The sequence below is a fragment of the Homo sapiens genome, chromosome 19 (genome assembly GCF_000001405.40).
Source record: "Homo sapiens chromosome 19, GRCh38.p14 Primary Assembly".
NCBI classification, from domain to species: domain Eukaryota; kingdom Metazoa; phylum Chordata; class Mammalia; order Primates; family Hominidae; genus Homo; species Homo sapiens.
The window spans coordinates 18,441,922-18,457,565 of record NC_000019.10 but is presented as its reverse complement, the minus strand read 5'-3'; the positions used below and the strand labels follow the sequence as shown (position 1 = coordinate 18,457,565).

At 57.1% G+C, this 15,644-nt stretch overlaps 1 protein-coding gene across 5 annotated transcripts in view, besides 4 other annotated features; it reads left to right on the top strand.

Moving 5' to 3' along the window:
* Positions 1-14,903, top strand: part of ELL (elongation factor for RNA polymerase II) — a 79,408-nt gene extending 64,505 nt beyond the window's left edge. For all 5 annotated transcript variants that reach the window (NM_006532.4, XM_017027335.2, XM_047439479.1 and 2 more), the window contains 6 exons: positions 5,918-6,014; positions 6,591-7,089; positions 10,752-10,818; positions 11,086-11,257; positions 12,298-12,342; positions 12,698-14,903. In NM_006532.4, the coding sequence (NP_006523.1) occupies positions 5,918-6,014; positions 6,591-7,089; positions 10,752-10,818; positions 11,086-11,257; positions 12,298-12,342; positions 12,698-12,814 (997 nt within the window). In that variant the 3' untranslated portion in view covers positions 12,815-14,903. The remainder of the gene's footprint in view (positions 1-5,917; positions 6,015-6,590; positions 7,090-10,751; positions 10,819-11,085; positions 11,258-12,297; positions 12,343-12,697) is intronic.
* Positions 1,801-2,017: a silencer, noted in NCBI's record as "fragment chr19:18566359-18566575 (GRCh37/hg19 assembly coordinates)". NCBI's record gives its function as "represses an EF-1alpha promoter that drives an FKBP-Casp9 reporter gene in an ReSE screen in phorbol 12-myristate 13-acetate-treated (for megakaryocytic differentiation) K562 erythroleukemia cells {active_cell/tissue: K562(+PMA)}" and the evidence as "EXISTENCE:reporter gene assay evidence [ECO:0000049][PMID:32094911]".
* Positions 5,757-6,563: an enhancer, noted in NCBI's record as "H3K4me1 hESC enhancer chr19:18561813-18562619 (GRCh37/hg19 assembly coordinates)". NCBI's record gives its function as "activates a minimal SCP1, AML or CMV promoter by ChIP-STARR-seq in naive H9 embryonic stem cells {active_cell/tissue: H9 hESC(naive)}" and the evidence as "EXISTENCE:reporter gene assay evidence [ECO:0000049][PMID:30033119]".
* Positions 6,564-7,370: an enhancer, noted in NCBI's record as "H3K4me1 hESC enhancer chr19:18561006-18561812 (GRCh37/hg19 assembly coordinates)". NCBI's record gives its function as "activates a minimal SCP1, AML or CMV promoter by ChIP-STARR-seq in naive H9 embryonic stem cells {active_cell/tissue: H9 hESC(naive)}" and the evidence as "EXISTENCE:reporter gene assay evidence [ECO:0000049][PMID:30033119]".
* Positions 10,717-11,245: an enhancer, noted in NCBI's record as "H3K4me1 hESC enhancer chr19:18557131-18557659 (GRCh37/hg19 assembly coordinates)". NCBI's record gives its function as "activates a minimal SCP1, AML or CMV promoter by ChIP-STARR-seq in primed H9 embryonic stem cells {active_cell/tissue: H9 hESC(primed)}" and the evidence as "EXISTENCE:reporter gene assay evidence [ECO:0000049][PMID:30033119]".

Sequence of the window (15,644 nt, the reverse complement as noted above, 5' to 3'; positions counted from 1 at the left end):
AGGTATTTATGAGTTTGTAGTTGTTTTTTGGAAGTTCAGCTGTTTAAAGCAGTAATTGCCTCTGGAAAGCAGAATGAAGTTGGGGGTCCACTCTGCTCCCCTGAGAGGGTAGTGCCTGCCTGTCCACCCTGGGTGTGCAGGTCAGGGGCCTGCGGGGCACTGCCCTGGCTTGGCGGCAGGCTGGCGGAGGGCACAGTCTTGGCAGAAGACCCGCCCCCATCCTCATACCCTGTGTCCTCTCCCTTGGCCCCCTGGGTTCCTCAGACCCTTAGGGCACTGGAAGGAGAACTGCCCAGAGCTAGTGGAGTGAGGTGGAGAAGGCTGGGCTGCACCTCTGGGGCGTCGGGGAGCTTCCCCGGGATGCAGGCTCCAGAGCCGCCTCCAGCTCCCCTGATTCAAGGCTCATGTTCCGTCTGCTGAGTGAGCTTGCTGGGCTCATGCCAGCCCCTTGGCACTCTGCTTTCACTCTGGGCCGGCATGGGGATCAGCACTGCCTTCACAAGCTTCCACTAGCGTGCAGGGGGCAGGGTTGATGTCCCTGGGCCATAACCACATAGAAGGTGACCTGCGGTGCCCCTCTGCATAGCTGTTTTTTTTTTTTTTTCCTATTTAGCACCCCATCCCTAAGAAAGCCCCATTTATAGCAGTTTTTGACACCATGGCTTCGTGTATATCAAAGCAGGGCCTTGGAGTATTTGTTACCAGCTGGGCTAGCCCAGTGCAGGCCGTTAGCCTAGTGCAGGCCGTGAGACAGATGGGATGTGGGGGCCCAAGTCACTGCAGGAGCCTCCCCAGCTGAGCTGGCACCACATGTGGCTTTGGGGGGTGGTTTCTCCACTCATGTTCTCTTTGTTCATGATGTCCAAACCCGATCTGTCCCTGGTATCCAAATCTCCTCTCATCACTGTCCATGGGTCAGGGGTCCTGCAGGTCCCCCCAAGAGTTCCTGATTCCTCTGCCCAAGCCACACACTGCCTGGTGCCCTTACCTCCAACCTGAGCCACTCCCCTCTCCTGTGAGCCCCATGCCAGAGTCTATATACTCCTCCTTCCTGCTCCTCCCTGGTGCCAAGGGAGCACAGCTCCTGGAGCACCTCTCTGAGGACAGGGCTCCAGGAGGACTGCTGGCCACATCTTCATGCCCAGACGATGGTCCTGCTGAGCCGGCGGTTGATCACATCTAGACTTGTAGAGTCCAAGATGCTTTCCCTCCACGTTGAAGGTCAGAGGCTTCCCACCCCAACCCTGTGCTGGTCCACAGAGCCAGGGGCTGGCCAGGTACCTACTCTGGGATGGTGGGCACCACGGCCCCCGCAGGCTGAAAACTTGCCTTATCCGTCTATCCGTCCTTCTGTCCTGTGTGTGGTAGTGGAAAGGCCTATCCTACTGCACACCACCTCAAACTGCTCTTGGCAGGCTGCTAGAGTCTGTCCTCCTCTTCCTGGTTTTCATCTCTTTTTTTTTTTTTTGTGATGGAGTTTTGCTCTTGTTGCCCAGGCTGGAGTGCAATGGCGCGATCTCGGCTCACAGCAACGTCCGTCTCCTGGGTTCAAGCCATTCTCCTGCCTCAGCATCCAGAGTAGCTGGGATTACAGGCATGCGCACCATGCCCGGCTAATTTTGTATTTTTAGTAGAGATGGGGTTTCTCCATGTTGGTCAGGCTGGTCTCAAACTCCGGATCTCAGGTGATCCGCCCACCTCAGCCTCCCAAAGTGCTGGGATTACAGGCGTGAGCCACCGCGCCCAGCTGGTTTTCATCTCTTGCTCTTTTTTATTCTCCTTTTAGGAGACTTCTTTGACATTTCTCATCCTGTCTCTTAATTTACTATTATTTGTAGTTTCTTTTTTTTTCTTGAGACAGAGTGTTGCTCTGTTGCCTAGGCAAAGAGATGGGGTTTCACCATGTTCTCCAGACTGGTCTTGAACTCCTGACCTCAAGTGATCTGCCTGCCTCAGCCACCCAAAGCACTGGGATTACACATGTGAGCCACCATGCAAGGCCTATTATTTCTAGTTTCTAAGAGTCTTCCCCATTGCGTTTTCGTAGGAGCATGTTCTTTTTTTTTTTTTTTTCCTGAGACAGAGTCTTGCTCTGTCACGCAGGCTGGAGTGCAGTGGCATGATCTCGGCTCACTGCAACCTCCGCCTCCTGGGTTCAAGCAATTCTGTGCCTCAGCTTCCCGAGTAGCTGGGATTACAGGTGCCCGCCACCACGCCTGGCTAATTTTTGTATTTTTAGTAGAGATGGGGTTTCACCATCTTGGCCAGGCTGGTCTGGAACTCCTGACCTCATGATCCACCCGCCTCGGCCTCCCAAAGTGCTGGGATTACAGGCGTGATCCACTGTGCCTGGCCTAACTCATCATGTTCTTATTTAATGGAAAGGATGTCTTTTTCTTTCTTTCTTTCTTTTTTTTTTTTTTTGGAGAGGGACTCTCACCCTATCGCCCAACCTGGAGTGCAGTGGCGCAATCTTGGCTCACTGCAACCTCTGCCTCCCCGGTTCAAGCAATTCTCCTGCCTCAGCCTCCTGAGTAGCTGGGATTACAGGCATGCACCACCATGCCCGGCTAATTTTTTGTATTTTTAGTAGATCTGGGGTTTCACCATGTTGGCCAGGCTTGTCTCAAACTCCTGACCTCAAGGGCCTCAGCCTTCCAAAGTGCTGGGTTTACAGGTGTGAGCCACCGTGCCCAGCCAGGATGCCTTTTTTTTTTTTTTTTTTGAGACTGAGTCTCACTCTGTTGCCCAGGCTGGAGTGCAGTGGCGCAATCTCTGCTCACTGCAACATCTGCCTCCCAGGTTCAAGTGATTCGCCTACCTCAGCTTCCCGAGTAGCTGGGATTACAGGCGCCTGCCACCACGACCGGCTAATTTTGTATTTTTAAGTAGAGACAGGGTTTCACCATGCAGGCCAGGCTGGTCGGGAACTCCCAACCTCAGGTAATCTGCCCATCTCAGCCTCCCAAAGTACTGGGATTACAGGCATGAGCCATTATGCCCAGCCCAGGATGTCATTTTTAACCTACTCTAAGGATGTTTATTTTATTTATTTCTTTATTTATTTTGAGACGGAGTCTTGCTCGTCACCCAGGCTGGAGTGCAGTGGCGCGATCTCGGCTCACTGCTAGCTCCGCCTCCTGGGTTGACACCATTCTCCTGCCTCAGCCTCGCGAGTAGCTGGGACTACAGGCGCCCGCCACCATGCCCGGCTAATTTTTTGTATTTTTAGTAGAGATGAGGTTTCACCGTGTTAGCCAGGATGGTCTCGATCTCCTGACCTCGTGATCCACCTGCCTCGGCCTCCCAAAGTGCTGGGATTACAGGCGTGAGCCATCGGGCCCGGCCTCTAAGGATGTTTTTTAAAGAATAACAGCTTTATTCAGATACAGTTCATGTAACACAAGTCATCCATTTAAAGTGAGCAGCTCAGTAACATTTTGTACGTTCATAATATTGTGCAGCCACCACCTCTGTCTAGTTCCAGAAAATTTTCATTTCCCCAAAAGGAAACCCTATCCCCATCAGGAGTCATTCTCCCCATTCCCTCCCATGCTCCCAGCCCCTGGTAACTACTAATCTGCTTTCTGTCTCTATTGATTTGCCTGTTGTGGACATTTCAGATCAATGGAATTATACGCTGTGTGGCTGACATGTAATCTGTGGAAACTTGTAGCTGTGAGGAATGTTGAATCAGGACCGGGCGTGGTGGCTCATGCCTATAATGTCAGCACTTTGGGAGGCTTAGGTGGGAGGATTGCTTGAGCCCAAGCCTGGGCTCAAGTTCTAGACAAGCCTGGGCAACATAGTGAGACCCTCATCTCTACAAAAAATGAAAAAATTAGCCAGGCATGGTGTTGTGCTCTTGTGATCCCAGCTACCCTAGAGGCTGAGGTGGGAGGATCACTTGAGCACAGGAGATCCAGGCTGCAGTGAGCTGTGACTGGGATTAGAGGCGTGAGCCACTGCGCCCAACCTATTTTCTGTTTTTTTTATTCCAGTCATCCCTGGGTGTGTGTGAAGTGGTATCTCGTTGTTTGTTTTTTGTTTGGTGGGTTTGTTTGTTCATTATTGCTCCTTGCAGGGCAGGGCTAACCCATAGGCAGTGTGCCCAGAGTAGCCAGTGTCTCGTTGTTTTGATTTGCATTTCCCTGATGACACATGGCATTGAGCATCTTGTTATGTGCTTTTAGCCATTTGTATAGCTTCTTTGAAGAAACGTCTATTCAGAGCTTTTGTTTTTCCAAGGACACGAAAACTGGCATTTTTTATTTATTTATTTTATGTTTTTGAGACGGAGTCTCGGTCTTGTTGCCCAGACTGGAGTGCAATGGCATGATCTCTGCTCACTGCAACCTCCGCCTCCCGGGTTCAAGTGATTCTCCTGCTTCAGCCTCCCAAGTAATTGAGGTTACAGGTGCCCACCACCATGCCCGGCTAATTTTTTTGTACGTTTAGGAGAGACGGGGTTTCACCATGTTGGCCAGACTGGTCCCGAACTCCTGACCTTAGGTGATCCGCCTGCCTTGGCCTCCCAAAGTGCTGGGATTACAGGCGTGAGCCATGGGCGCCCGGCCTGTTGATTTATTTTTTAACGTTTTCATCTCCCTGTGGAGTCTCTTTTCAAATGTATTTTCGTGTTCCTCTGTTTTGAGGTCTGACGTTTGTTGCCTGGAAGCTGCAGTGCAGCCGTTGGGGACACTGCACAGCTTGGGGCCTCTGAATCCCGATGTGCCCTAGTCCTGGGCCCTGTTTCTTCTTCTCCTGAGGCCACACATCTGGCCATCCTGTTGTCCAGCTGTGGCCCAGGTAACTTCCCAACTGCCTGGAGGAGTGGCCCGAGCCTCTTTGCTGCCTGACAGCCCTGGGCTCACTGTCCTGCAGCCCCACCAGCAGTGATGAGGATCTGGAGTAGAGCTGTGGGGGATGGCCCTGCAGCAGTCTGTTGTCCCCTGAGGTCGTGGTGCCTCTTGCTCTGGGCCCTGGATTCTCTGGATCCTGCAGCAGTCACCACTCATGCTTCTGCTATGCTTTCCGGTGTCTTCACTCCTCCTTTTGTCTCTGCCTTGCCTGTCCAGTGGATGCAAATGCCTGTTCTCAGTTTTCTGTCTTTAACTGGGAGTTCTGTTTATGTCCACATGGCTCTCCTCTCAGGCCACCAGGGAAGTGACACCTGCAGTGGTCTGTAGCCTAGCCCATTTGTTAGGGAGATGGGCTCTGGGTGTCACTGGCTGGCAGAATGGCCACGGCCCTGGACTTAAGTCTCTCTGCAGGGCCTGGAGGGGCGCTAGGCTGCCCTGAGATGGCACAGCCCCCGGGAATTGAACAGTTGGGTCAGAGAGGATACCCATAAGCTGCAGGGTTGCTGGCGGGGGTGGGGGATTCCACTTGCCCAGATCACATGGAGCGGGAGAAGGGGCATGCACTGGGGTGTTTCTTCCCTTCTTCCCCAGCTGCATCACCTAGTCAAGCTGGTGGCCACTCTGCCGCCCTCCAGATCCTGCTGTGACCTGGGCTTCCAGGAAGGCTGTCTCATCCTAGGCCAGGGCCCTCCGTTCTCTTCTGCATTTTGGACAGTTTCTGCAGTGAGCGTTCTGAACAGGATGAACAGCTGTCTTTAAAAGCAGGGTCCAGCACCCTAGCGTGTGTCCCTGGTCTCTCCGGTAGCAGGCACCTACACAAAGTGATCCTCCTCTGGGCTCAGGGGGACAGTGAGTGGGGAAGTCCTCCTTTGGGTGAAGTCGGGGGCAGGATGGCCTCAGGCCCAGGCTCCTGTGACCCCTTGGCCCTGCTCTGGATTTGGGAGGAGGGGGGTCCCTTCCTTGAGGCATCTCCACCGGGCCCCCATGTGGATACAGGCCTGGGGCCCCTAGGCCCCCTCAGCACCTTCTGACCTAGCCCTGCCTCTCCTTCGCAGGAAGCTGTGCCAGCCACAGAGCACTGGCAGCCTCCTTGGAGACCCTGCTGCCTCCAGCCCCCCAGGCGAGCGTGGGCGCTCGGCCTCGCCCCCACAGGTAAGTGAGGCATGCCTGGGGTGACTGTCCCAAGCACCTGCAGGGCACTCTGTGCTGCATCAGTAACCCTTGTCACCTTCCTCACCAGCTCTTTGGAGCATGAGCTGCTCCAAGTTGAGCCGCCTCCCTCCGCCCAGGGACCAAGGGGGAAGCTGTCGGGTTGGGGTTGGGGGCAGATTCCTGCCAGTGTGGCCGCAGCACCCCAGTGTCACAGTGCGGAACCTGGGACGGGGGGCGGCTCCCTGATGTGGGCTCAACCCTGGGCTTCCTGCTCCTGTGTCACAGTTATCACTGGGGAAGCATGCTGAGCACAGCAGCGCTTTAGACCAGTCCCCAGGGGTGGCCCGCTCACACACTGGGCCCTGCCCTCCCCCTGCATCGATCCCAGCAGGCTGATGGGCCCCAGCTGAGGCCACCCTGAGCGGCACCTGGGACCTGACTTGGTGCTCGGGCGCCCCCATGTGGCCAGCGTGGGCCTTGCAGGCGGCGTTGGGTTTTCTAGCCAGGCCAGGGGATTGCCTGTTGCTGCTCAGCCACTCTGTGCTCCCCTCTAAAATGATCTCTGCTCCTCTCCAGAAGCGGCTGCAGCCTCCTGATTTCATCGACCCCCTAGCCAACAAGAAACCCCGGATATCGCACTTCACTCAGAGAGCTCAGCCTGCCGTCAACGGGAAGCTGGGCGTGCCCAATGGCCGTGAGGCCTTGCTGCCCACCCCGGGCCCACCAGCCAGCACGGACACCCTCAGCTCCAGCACTCACCTGCCCCCGCGGCTGGAGCCCCCGAGGGCCCACGACCCCCTGGCCGATGTCAGCAATGACCTGGGCCACAGCGGCCGAGACTGTGAGCACGGAGAGGCGGCTGCCCCAGCCCCCACTGTGCGCCTCGGCCTGCCCCTGCTGACGGACTGTGCCCAGCCCAGCAGGCCACACGGCAGCCCCTCGCGCAGCAAGCCCAAGAAGAAGTCCAAGAAGCACAAAGACAAGGAGAGGGCGGCTGAGGACAAGCCCCGGGCCCAGCTTCCAGACTGTGCACCTGCCACCCATGCCACCCCCGGAGCCCCAGCAGACACCCCAGGTAGGTGCCCAGGCAGGAGGGCGTTGCCGGGGCTCTAAGTACTGGCCCCACACCCGCCTCACCCTCATGGGGTGTCGAGGGGGCTCAAGCTGTAGAAGCCAGGGGAGGGGACCCTGTTGCCCCAGGCCCCATCAGATTTGCCCTGTGTGCCTGGCACCTGGCACCCTATGTTCCTGCACCTGGTCCTCTCCCTGCCTGTCTGGAGTGCCCGGTGCCACTTGCAGTCAATGTGCCAGGCCAGCACTGGGGGCCGGAGGCCCAGAGCCTTGTGGGGAACTGAGGCCGCAGAAGGGGCTAACATGCAGAGAGGAATGGGGCCCAGGCCCCAGCTCTGACTGCAGGGAAGCCCCAGGAGCCAGGGCCATGCTGAGGTCTGCTGGGGTTCAGGGAAGACAGTGGGGGCCCAGGCAAGCCAGCCCTATTCAGGGAGAGGCAGCACAGGTGCAGATGGGCAGATCCTGGTGGGAGAGGGATAGCACCTGGACCTCTGTAGGCACCGTGCGACTGTTGTGGACTGTAGGTTTCTGCTGTGGGGACAGGGCCTGGCAGGCTGGGATTGGGGAGCCAGGAGACCTGGGCGGCTCCGAGACCACAGCCCAGGCACCTAAACTGAGCAGCAGTAGCACCCGCCTAGCACCGTGGCCATGAGCCTGCGCAGCTGTTCATTTATAGGAACCAGCAGAAGCAGTGGCCAGCGTGCAGCGGCTGTTCCACCACCATGTGCGACAGGGGCTGCAGTGGTCCCATGTGGCGATGGCGGCCAGTTGCAGATGGCCACTTCGCTCTCGGCGCCAGCTGGCCCAGGGCAGCCCAGGTGGTGTCACCTGCTGTGCTTTTGGGTTGTGTCTCTGGGGAGGAGGCTGAGTCAGGGGATTCCTGGGATGAGGGTGGGAGCCCTTCTTTCATTATAGCTTTGCGTTGCTCAGAGGGCCATGCCCCGTCCCCTGCTGTGGCTGGAGAGCAGGTCCTCACAACTGTGGCTGGGTCTTACTGGATAGGAAGGAAGACTTTCGGGGTTGGGTCAGCCCTGCCTCGTGCTGGGCTTCCCACCTCCCGTGGGACTGCATGTGGGGGCCGACGGGGAGAAGGTGGCCTTACTCCCTGGGCAGCCTCTCTGACCAGGGCCATGCTCAGGGCAGGACTCCTGATTCCCAGGACACACCCACACCCCACAGCCAGACCTGGGCCACGATCAAATGGCAGGATCTGCCATTTGAGACCCTTGGCCCGGCTCCAGGGTCCACAGACCACTCTGGGCTGTGTCCCTTCCTTGGATGCCCAGTGCCTAGGTGCCAAGACAGGCCTGGGGACTCAAGGTGGTTTCCTGTCTGGCCTGGTGCGTGTTGGCCCCTAGGCAGTTCATCCCCGGCCCAGGGGCTGTCATCTCTACCACAGGTGAGAAAATGCAAAGCAGGGGTAGATGTCCCAAGCACCAAGAAAAGGACAGTGGAGGCACCAGAAGCTGAGCCTGGTGCTGGTGGTCCATGTTACCAGAGTCCTGAAGGTGGTACTTGTGCAGGGCATGTCTTAGCTGTCCTGTGCCCGTGCCCAGGACAAGCAAGTAGAGAGACGTGGGCTGTGAAGGGGAGAGATGGGGAGAGGAGCTGCTGTGGGGGTGTTCTCCGGGGCCCCGAAGCAGGGACCAGCTTGGCCGGCCCCACACAGCCAGAGCTTGAGTAGGAGTCGGGGGCCGCTGAGGTTTGCCAAGGGCTGGACTTTGAAGGTCCCACTGGTACCAGGTTGAGCTGACCCTGAGCCTTGATTTCCCCGTTTGTCATCCTAGCTGGTGAAGATCTTGGGGCATGTCAAATGAGGTAATGTTGACCAGCCTGACACATGGCAGTTATCTGTTGTAGAATACCCACGGAGTCCACTGCGTGGCGGGAGCATGGGCTTGGCCTTCGCAGCTGCGCCTTGCCTCTCACTTCCTTCTGGCCCGGACCAGGGTCAGACCCATTCAATACATGCCCATTGAGTTGCGTCCCTGGGAAGGCCACAGCCTCTTAAAGACAACCCAGGTGGGGGTGGTGGTGATATGGAAGACAGTGTCTGGCCCAAAGTGGGGAGTGTTAGAAACTTTGTGGGGAGTGAGCTTCGTCCACTTTTGGGAATTTGGCAGCAGAGAAGCTGCTGTGGTCAGCCCAGGTGTGTTACACTGAGAGAGAGGGCTCAGCAAACTGGAGATCGCAGACTCCTGCTCTCTCAGGGGATAGTGCAGAGGGCCCCTGAAAATGTGCACTAGGGCCAGGCACAGTGGTTCCGCCTATAATCCCAGCATGTTGAGAGGCCAAGTCAAGAGGATCACTTAAGTCCAGGAGTTCAAGACCAGCCTAGGCGATATAGGCAAGCCTCCTCATCTCTACTAAAAAGTAAAAAAAAAAAAAAAAAATTCGCCAGGTGTGGTGGTTCATGCCTTTAATCCCAACGCTTTGAAAGGCCAGTTCAGGAGGATTGCTTGAGGTCAGGAGTTTCAGACCAGCCTGGGCAACACAGTGAGACCCCATCTCTACAAAAAAATTTTGTAATTAGCTGGGCATGGTGGCATATGCCTGTAGTCTCACCTACTTGGGAGGCTGAGGCAAGAGGATCACTTGAGCCCAGGAGTTCAAGGTTGTAGTGAGCCATGATCGCACCATTGCAACTCCAGCCTGGGTGGCAGAGCAAGACCCTGTCTCTAAAAAAAAAAAAAAAGTGTATTGAGGATACATCTGAAATTGATAAAATCATTTCTGTATCGGAAAGAAAGCCACTGCAAGAAGGTCTAGAAAACGCACTAAATTGTAGTTGTGGTCTTAGGCGACGCGCACTTCAGTCTTCCTGCCCCTCCCCTCCCTGATTTCCAGACCCTCAGGGGTGTTGTCTTATGTGGCCGGGGCACCCCACCACATGGCTCAGGAGCAGGACAGCTGCCTGGGGTGCCATCTAGCCATCAGCTGTGCTGCTTTGGGCAGGCCCCTGAAGGGGCGAAGGGCTGAGCGTCATCATGGACACTTTGCTCATGGATGGCCGATTGGGGTGGCCCATGGGCTCCTCTGGCTGGCCCTGTCCTGGAGCTGCCTTGTGGAGCGTGCAATTCAGTGTCTAGTGGAAAGGACGGGATGATCTGGGTGGGGCACAGACCAAGGGCGTGGAACTTTGTCAGCAGCAAGAGATGCAGGCCCTGCTGGCCATCTTGTCTTTGTCCTGTCTGGCCAGAGACTGGGATGCCCCAGAGACTCAGGTCAAGCCAGGGGTCATTTGTTTTCAGCTTAGTGACCTTTGACATGCAGTCAGTGGAGGCAGCAAGGGCCTGGCCTGGGGGAAGCTCTGACCGGTTGTGCAGGCTTTGGCCCTGCAGTTCCCTGACCTGTCCGCTGTTTGCCAAGAATGTGACTGTGGTGATGCCTGGGTGCTCTGTGTCCTGCAGGGCTTTGCCCTGGACACGCAGGTGCACGCTGAGCTCTGCTCACCACCTGGAGGGCACGCCCAGGTCCAGCAGCCCACAGTTGCCAGGTGCGAGGGGCTCAGCCCTTGCACCTGCCACACAGTCATCCCCTCTGCTATCCCTCTATGTCCCTCCAGCAGCAAAGTGTACAGTTTTCATGCATGTCCCCATCCTGGCGTGCTTCCTGCCGACCGGTGCCATGGGCGCAGACTCAGGAGGTATGTGTTTGCTCTCGTAGGTTTAAACGGAACCTGCAGCGTTTCCAGTGTTCCCACGTCCACGTCGGAGACGCCTGACTACTTGCTGTGAGTGTTTGTCTGGGCCCTGCAGGCCAGGCCTCCCTTTTCTGGGTTCAGACCCCCTCCCCCAGCACTGCAGGTTATCAGAGGTAGAAGCCACTGCAAGTCTGAGTATGTGAATTCCAAACATAGCAGCCTCTTCTGGGCCAGGCCCCCTCATAATCCAGGGAATCACCCGAGAGGCCAGGCCGCCGGTGGAGCCAGGATGGCCACTTCCTGGGTGGGGCTGGGTCCTTCCAGCCTCCACTCAGTGGCCCCTCTCTCCTGTTTCAGGAAGTACGCAGCCATCTCCTCTTCGGAGCAGCGCCAGAGCTACAAGAACGACTTCAATGCCGAGTACAGCGAGTACCGCGACCTGCACGCCCGCATTGAGCGCATCACGCGGCGGTTCACCCAGCTCGACGCCCAGCTCCGGCAGCTCTCCCAGGGCTCCGAGGAGTATGAGGTAGAGCCCCCCCGCTGCCTACTGTGCCCTGGCTCTGGCGGGAGCCAGGGCCCACTTGGGCGCGCACCATCGCCACCACGAGCTTGGTGGCCCCAGAGTCTGGCCCTTCCCCAGGCAGCGCTTCTCCCCCTGGTGCACTCCATGCAGCAACCCCATGGTTCTGGCCCGGCCCTGGGGTCCTGTTGTGGGAGTCCTTGAAGGCAGCCCAGCTTGTCAGCCTCCTTTGCAGTGGGGACAGCTGTGACCCACCTCCTTGGATGGGGGCGAGCCGGGGTACATGGATCCCCACATGTTTGAGCGCCTGGGGTCCTCTCACAGCCTAGGACACAGGGCTCTTGGTACCTGTGCCAAACCCTCAGGAGACTCCGCAGCTGAGCTCTGTCCAGCACCCTGGGGCCCATCCATGCTGCCACAACTATAGCAGGGGGAGGTGACAGGTCCCTGTGGTCCTGGGAATCAGGACTCCTGTGGTCCCCTGGCTTGAGCTCACAGCTCATTCAGCTGCCCTGTGTATACAGAGAGTCTCCACCCTTAGCCTAGCCTTGGACGTAGCCGCCCCACCTGCCACCTTTCGGAACTGGTGACCTGACTACAGGGCTGGGCCCTGATTAATCAGATGCCGGGGTCTCTCCTGGCCAAGGCCCCTTTGCCTTCCAAAGACGACGACTCATGATGGGGTTCTAGGGGCTGCGAGCCACGGGTTCTTGGGGCATCTCTCCTTCCCCTTCCCTCCCTCTTTGCTGCACCCCCCCACCCCCTCCCCACCCCCCCACGACATGGATACTTCCTTGTCCTGCCACGCCCCCACAACAGCAGTGCCCCACCTGCTATTGCCTCCAGGGGACCCGGCAGCCTTTCCCTCATGCCCCACCCACTCCGGAGCTACAGCCGCTGTGGGCCCCTGGGGTGTTACTTGGCCTTGTCCTTGAGGCTGCCCCACCCTCCCATGCCCCCTTCTCAGAGCACCTGGGACCACTCAATTTGGGTTTCCTGTAGGCGGGGACACATTCTGTTTTCTCAAAATTTTGTTTTTCTTCTAGACTACTCGAGGGCAGATTTTGCAGGAATATCGAAAAATCAAAAAGGTGAGTGTCTCTTGTGTTGGGGTGGGCTCCAAGTGAGCCATGGGAGCTGGAGGGAGGAGGGTGGGCCCGGGGCAGCCTCCCTGCCCGCTACTTCCAAGGTGTGGGGGAAGAGCCTTTGAGTCTGAGGCCAAAGTTGCCCCACCACCCCCAGCTAAGTCTTCAGCTGTGGCATCCTGGCCCAGCCACACAAGCTGTGGAGGTGCGGGGGACCAACTCCCACTCTGCCCTTGGACCACAACCCTCCTTGCTGGGCACCAAGCCCAGGTTTTTGGTTTGGGGGGGACACTGGCCTGCTTACAGCGGGGAGCAGCACCCAGGGCGGCTCTGTCCTGAGCATGACTGTGCTGTCCCACAGACCAACACCAACTACAGCCAGGAGAAGCACCGCTGCGAGTACCTGCACAGCAAGCTGGCCCACATCAAGAGGCTCATCGCCGAGTACGACCAGCGGCAGCTGCAGGCTTGGCCCTAGCCGCCCTCCCCGATGGCGGGGATCTGGGAGGGTCGGGGGAGCAAAAGGCGGTGAGAGAGGATTTATTTAAAAAAATAAACCCGAGGAAGATGCTCATCTGAGCCAGCACCGCCGGCTTTCAGGGCAGCCCCTGCAGACGTCTGGCCCTGGCGGGTGGCTGCAAGCCCACCTCGGCCCTCCCTGCGCTTCCTGAGCAGTCCCTGCTTATGATGGGCTCCCCAGGAAGCCCACTGCCTCCTCCCTGGCTGCAGCCTCCGGGGTTCAGCCTCCTGTCTCGCCAGAAGACTCCTAGGCCCTTGGGGTGGCGCGCCTGCCTTTTCTAGTTTTATACAAAGACAGCCACTTTTAGCTACTGCTAATGAGACTTGAGTCTATTTTTGTACAAAAGAGAAGCAAAATCTTTTTTCTAAACCTGTGCCTCCCTCTCCTCGGACACCCAGGGTCTAGCCGCTGCCCTGGGTCCTGCCTGCAGTATTACAGAGGTCGTCGAAAGGTGCAGCTGCGTTCTGAGGGCGTGGGGAATGGGCAGGTGGCCTCTGCTGGTCTCTGGCTCTACGTTTAGGCACCCCTTTCCCCAGCCTCTCCTCCTTGGGCAGGGTCTCTGCTCCAGCAAGCAAACAGGGTGGCCCAGGTGGCTATTTTGAGAACTCCAGCTGGTGCCCCCAGACAGCTGCTCAGAGCCAAGGGGGCAGAGGGCTTTCAGCGCCCCCAGGCCTGCCCTGCTATTTCAGGCCCTCAGCTGTCGGGGGCCACTGTGTTTCTGTGCTCCAAGTTGAGACTCGGCCGCAGCGGCGTCAGACTTTTCTTTGCGATGTCCTCGGTTTCCCATTTGTTGCTGCTGCTGCTCATTCCACACTGTTGAGACCTTGTGGTCTCGATGCTGCTGGCCTCCCTCCGTCCCTCTGTCCACTTGTGGGTCCTGGGGTCGTCTTAGCAGAGCCACCGCCAAGGTTTGCACTCAGGGAGGGGCTGATGGAGGGCTGGGCGCCATGGGGTCAGGGAGGCCCCAGGGACCCATGGGCAGAGCTGGGGAGCCAGGAGGATGGGTCTGCCTGCTCTGGGGGTGCAGGCTCTGCAGACACCCCAATTGCTGCTCTGTTGCTGTGCCTAGTCTAGTGTCCCCCAAAGCATCGGGGGGCCACGCAAGTGTGGGTGTGTGAGTGTGCGTATGTGGGGACCCCCCAGGGCATGGTGGGGTCTGAGGCGTGTGTTCCCATTTAGGGCTGAATGAAGCCATGACTTGGAAAGGTGGTGGGGGGTGGATGGCGGCTGTGACTCAGGGCCCAGGGATCACATGGGGGTCACTGCTGCCATCAGCAGTCAGGCAGGGAGAACAGAAATGCAAAAATACAGATGTCTATTTTTCTAAACTGGGGGGTGGAGGGGTGCCTCCTGACAGCTTCCAAAGAGCTGACTGTGGAGGGCCCACAGTGTATCCCACCCCTGCCCGAGAGTCTCTCTCCTTTGGGACCCCCGGGTTCCCAGAGCTCCGAGGAAACTGATCCTTCATGTTTCAATAGCTGTTGTTGTTTTTCTCTTTGGGCCGGGCCGGGCCGGGGAAGGGCCGAGCAGGCTCCAGGAGGCCTCCAGAGTCAGCTGGACCTTGCTGTGTCGCCCGCAGGCAGCCCTGCAGACACCGGTGAGGTGGGATGATTTCAGGAGGTCCCAGCCCGGGACTGCCCGCCCCTCTGCCCTGGGAACCAGTCCAAGGGGCTGTCAGTTGAATTTGCCTTTTTGTTGTTGTTGTTGTTTTTGTTGTTTATTTGTTCTCCTTTTAAGGAATTATGAAGCTAAGAAAAGTTTTGTGTTTTGGGGGTTGGTGGACAAAGTTCTAGCTGATTAAATATGGTCTAACTTATTGATACTATTTTTTTTTCTTTTAATGTTGTACTGTGGAGAAAAACTATTTTGAGCCATGGGGTTGGTGTTTACAAGAACTTTCCACTTTTGCCAAAATGTTACAATTGAAAGGCATCTATCTGCGTCTTCAGTTTCCTGATATTTTCTTAAAAGATCTAGTGTCCTTTTTGTACACTAAACAGGTGAATGCTGACTTTTTTCATTCTCCAATAAATTTCACTGAACTGAACCTGGCAGCCCAGGCTGCCTGGCTGGTGTGTGTGGTGTGTGGGTGTTGGTGTATCTGTGTGTGTGGTGTATGGTGTGTATGTGTGTGTGGTGTGTGTTGGGGTGTGTGGGTGTGTAGTATATCTGTGTCGGTGTGTGTTGGATGTTGTGTGTGGGTGTGTAGTGTGTGTGATGTGTTAGGGTGTGTGTGTTGTATGTGTGGGTGTGTTGTGTGTGGTGTGTGTTGGGGTGTGGGGTGTGTGGTGTGTGTTGGGGATGTGTGTGGTGAGGATGTGGTGTTTGTTGGGATGTGGTATGTGTTGGGATGTGGGTGTGTGTTGGGGTGTGGTGTGTGGATGTGGTGTATCTGGGTGTGTGGTATGAGGGTGTGGTGTGTGTTGGGGTGTGTGGTGTGGGGTGTGTGTGGTGTGTTGGGGATGTGTTGAGGGTGGGTGTGTGTTGGGGTGTGTGGGTGTGGTGTGTGTTGGGGTGTGTTGGTGTGGGTGTGGTGTGTGTTGGTGTGTGTTGACCGGATGTGTGGTGTGTGTTGGGGTGTGAGGGTGTGGTGTGTGTTGGGTGGTGTGTGGTGTGTGTTGGGGTGTGTAGGTGTGTGTGTGGTGTGAGGGTGTGGTGTGTGTTGGGGGTGTGTGTGTTGGGTGTGTGGTGTGTGTTGGGGTGTGGGTGTGTGTGTAGTGTGTGGGTGTGTCACAGCCTGGTTTCTGTGGTGGCTGTCCCTGTCCTGTGGTTGGGGGTGGGCTGGCAT